General features: G+C 42.5%; 1 annotated feature.

The window, feature by feature from the left end:
- Window positions 3132–3655: an enhancer, noted in NCBI's record as "NANOG-H3K27ac-H3K4me1 hESC enhancer chr3:94464607-94465130 (GRCh37/hg19 assembly coordinates)". NCBI's record gives its function as "activates a minimal SCP1, AML or CMV promoter by ChIP-STARR-seq in naive H9 embryonic stem cells {active_cell/tissue: H9 hESC(naive)}" and the evidence as "EXISTENCE:reporter gene assay evidence [ECO:0000049][PMID:30033119]".

The raw sequence follows: 4545 nt of genomic DNA, 5'->3' as shown, positions 1-4545 counted from the left end.
CAGTTTTCAAAGGGAATGCTTCCAGTTTTTGCCCATTAAGTATGATATTGGCTGTGGGTTTGTCACAGATAGCTCTTATTATTTTGAAATACGTCCCATCGATACCTAATTTATTGAGAGTTTTTAGCATGAAGGGTTGTTGAATTTTGTCAAAGGCTTTTTCTGCATCTATTGAGATAATCATGTGGTTTTTGTCTTTGGCTCTGTTTATATGCTGGATTACATTTATTGATTTGCGTATATTGAACCAGCCTTGCATCCCAGGGATGAAGCCCACTTGATCATGGTGGATAAGCTTTTTGATGTGCTGCTGGATTCGTTTTGCCAGTATTTTATTGAGGATTTTTGCATCAATGTTCATCAAGGATATTGGTCTAAAATTCTCTTTTTTGGTTGTGTCTCTGCCTGGCTTTGGTATCAGAATGATGCTGGCCTCATAAAATGAGTTAGGAAGGATTCCCTCTTTTTCTATTGATTGGAATAGTTTCAGAAGGAATGGTACCAGTTCCTCCTTGTACCTCTGGTAGAATTCGGCTGTGAATCCATCTGGTCCTGGACTCTTTTTGGTTGGTAAGCTATTGATTATTGCCACAATTTCAGCTCCCGTTATTGGTCTATTCAGAGATTCAACTTCTTCCTGGTTTAGTCTTGGGAGAGTGTATGTATCAAGGAATTTATCCATTTCTTCTAGATTTTCTAGTTTATTTGCGTAGAGGTGTTTGTAGTATTCTCTGATGGTAGTTTGTATTTCTGTGGGATCAGTGGTGATATCCCCTTTATCATTTTTTATTGTGTCTATTTGATTCTTCTCTCTTTTTTCTTTATTAGTCTTGCTAGCGGTCTATCAGTTTTGTTGATCCTTTCAAAAAACCAGCTCCTGGATTCATTAATTTTTTGAAGGGTTTTTTGTGTCTCTATTTCCTTCAGTTCTGCTCTGATTTTAGTTATTTCTTGCCTTCTGCTAGCTTTAGAATGTGTTTGCTCTTGCTTTTCTAGTTCTTTTAATTGTGATATTAGGGTGTCAATTTTGGATCTTTCCTGCTTTCTCTTGTGGGCATTTAGTGCTATAAATTTCCCTCTACACACTGCTTTGAATGCGTCCCAGAGATTCTTGTATGTTGTGTCTTTGTTCTCGTCGGTTTCAAAGAACATCTTTATTTCTGCCTTCATTTTGTTATGTACCCAGTAGTCATTCAGGAGCAGGTTGTTCAGTTTCCATGTAGTTGAGCGGTTTTGAGTGAGATTCTTAATCCTGAGCTCTAGTTTGATTGCACTGTGGTCTGAGAAATAGTTTGTTATAATCTCTGTTCTTTTACATTTGCTGAGGAGAGCTTTACTTCCAACTATGTGGTCAATTTTGGAATAGGTGTGGTGTGGTGCTGAAAAAAATTTATATTCTGTTGATTTGGGGTGGAGAGTTCTGTAGATGTCTATTAGGTCCACTTGGTGCAGAGCTGAGTTCAATTCCTGGGTATGCTTGTTGACTTTGTGTCTCATTGATCTGTCTAATGTTGACAGTGGGGTGTTAAACTCTCCCATTATTAATGTGTGGGAGTCTAAGTCTCTTTGTAGGTCACTCAGGACTTGCTTTATGAATCTGGGTGCTCCTGTATTGGGTGCATATATATTTAGGATAGTTAGCTCTTCTTGTTGAATTGATCCCTTTACCATTATGTAATGGCCTTCTTTGTCTCTTTTGATCTTTGTTGGTTTAAAGTCTGTTTTATCAGAGACTAGGATTGCAACCCCTGCCTTTTTTTGTTTTCCATTTGCCAGGTAGATCTTCCTCCATCATTTTATTTTGAGCCTATGTGTGTCTCTACACGTGAGATGGGTTTCCTGAATACAGCACACTGATGGGTCTTGACTCTTTATCCAATTTGCCAGTCTGTGTCTTTTAATTGGAGCATTTAGCCCCTTTACATTTAAAGTTAATATTGTTATGTGTGAATTTGATCCTGTCATTATGATGTTAGCTGGTGATTTTGCTCGTTAGTTGATGCAGTTTCTTCCTAGTCTCCATGGTATTTACATTTTGGCATGATTTTGCAGCGGCTTTTACCGGTTGTTCCTTTCCATGTTTAGTGCTTCCTTCAGGAGCTCTTTTAGGGCAGGCCTGGTGGTGACAAAATCTCTCAGCATTTGCTTGTCTGTAAAGTATTTTATTTCTCCTTCACTTATGAAGCTTAGTTTGGCTGGATATGAAATTCTGGGTTGAAAATTCTTTCTTTAAGAATGTTGAATATTGGCCCCCACTCTCTTCTGGCTTGTAGGGTTTCTGCTGAGAGATCCGCTATTAGTCTGATGGGCTTCCCTTTGAGGGTAACCCGACCTTTCTCTCTGGCTGCCCTTAACATTTTTTCCTTCATTTCAACTTTGGTGAATCTGACAATTACGTGTCTTGGAGTTGCTCTTCTCGAGGTGTATCTTTGTGGCGTTCTCTATATTTCCTGAATCTGAACGTTGGCCTGCCTTGCTAGATTGGGGAAGTTCTCTTGGATAATATCCTGCAGCGTGTTTTCCAAGTTGGTTCCATTCTCCCCGTCACTTTCAGGTACACCAATCAGACGTAAATTTGGTCTTTTCGCATAGTCCCATATTTCTTGGAGGCTTTGCTCATTTCTTTTTATTCTTTTTTCTCTAAACTTCCCTTCTCGCTTCATTTCATTCATTTCATCTTCCATTGCTGATACCCTTTCTTCCAGTTGATCGCATCGGCTCCTGAGGCTTCTGCATTCTTCATGTAGTTCTCAAGCCTTGGTTTTCAGCTCCATCAGCTCCTTTAAGCACTTCTCTGTATTGGTTATTCTAGTTATACATTCTTCTAAATTTTTTCAAAGTTTTCAACTTCTTTGCCTTTGGTTTGAATGTCCTCCCGTAGCTCAGAGTAATTTGATCGTCTGAAGCCTTCTTCTCCCAGCTCGTCAAAGTCATTCTCCATCCAGCTTTGTTCTGTTTCTGGTGAGGAACTGCGTTCCTTTGGAGGAGGAGAGGCGCTCTGCATTTTAGAGTTTCCAGTTTTTCTGTTCTGTTTTTTCCCCATCTTTGTGGTTTTATCCACTTTTGGTCTTTGATGATGGTGATGTAGAGATGGGTTTTTGGTGTGGATGTCCTTTCTGTTTGTTAGTTTTCCTTCTAACAGACAGGACCCTCAGCTGCAGGTCTGTTGGAATACCCTGCCGTGTGAGATGTCAGTGTGCTCCTGCTGAGGGGTGCCTCCCAGTTAGGCTGCTCGGGGTTCAGGGGTCAGGGACCCACTTGAGGAGGCAGTCTGCCAGTTCTCAGATCTCCAGCTGCGTGCTGGGAGAACCACTGTTCTCTTCAAAGCTGTCAGACAGGGACATTTAAGTCTGCAGAGGTTACTGCTGTCTTTTGGTTTGTCTGTGCCCTGCCCCCAGAGGTGGAGCCTACAGAGGCAGGCAGGCCTCCTTGAGCTGTGGTGGGCTCCACCCATTTCGAGCTTCCTGGCTGCTTTGTTTACCTAAGCAAGCCTAGGCAATGGCAGGCGCCCCTCCCCCAGCCTCGTTGCTGCCTTGCAGTTTGATCTCAGACTGCTGTGCTAGCAATCAGCAAGACTCTGTGGGCATAGGACCCTCCAAGCCAGGTGCGGGATATAATCTCGTGGTGCGTCGTTTTTTAAGCCCGTCTGAAAAGCGCAATATTCAGCTGGGAGTGACCCGATTTTCCAGGTGCGTCCGTCACCCCTTTCTTTGACTCAGAAAGGGAACTCCCTGACCCCTTGCGCTTCCCAAGTGAGGCAATGCCTCGCCCTGCTTCGGCTCATGCATGGTGCGTGCACCCACTGACCTGCACCCACTGTCTGGCACTCCCTAGTGAGATGAACCCAGTACCTCAGATGGAAATGCAGAAATCACCCATCTTCTGCGTTGCTCACGCTGGGAGCTGTAGACCGGAGCTGTTCCTATTCGGCCATCTTGGCTCCTCCCCAATTCAGAAATTTATTTCTTACAGTTACAGAGGCTGAGAAGTCCAAGGCCAAGGGGCCACATCTGGTGAGGGCCTTCTTGCTGGTAGGGACTCTGCAAAGTTTAAGTGTGGAAAAAGGCACCCATGGTGGGGTGGGAGACGAGGGGTTGCAGGCTAACATGTTAGCTCAGGTCTTTCCTTCTCCCTTGTAAAACCACTGATTCTCCTCCCATGATAACCCATTAATTAAATAACGCAATAACCCATAAACCTATGATTGGATTAATTCCTGGTGGCAGAGCCCTCATGATACAATTACCCCTTAAAGGTCCATCTCTCAATACTGTCACATTGGGGTTAAATTTCAACACGACTTTTGCAGGGAGACAAATATTCAAACCATAGTAGGTCCCAGATGCTCTCTTTCTCATGCTCTATTTTTCTTTCTTTTTAACAATCTTTTAACATGCAAAAACTGTATTTAGCTCTCAGGTATAAAAACAAGCAGTAGAACAAATTTTGCCTGTGGGTCATAGTTCACCAATGTCTGATATACCAATATGAGTGTAATTCTACTATTAACAATGGAGTTAGAGACAACAAATTGACCAATAATTT

Source organism: Homo sapiens, chromosome 3 (genome assembly GCF_000001405.40).
Source record: "Homo sapiens chromosome 3, GRCh38.p14 Primary Assembly".
Classification (NCBI taxonomy): Eukaryota; Metazoa; Chordata; class Mammalia; order Primates; family Hominidae; genus Homo; species Homo sapiens.
This window is presented reverse-complemented; position numbering and strand designations above follow the sequence as displayed.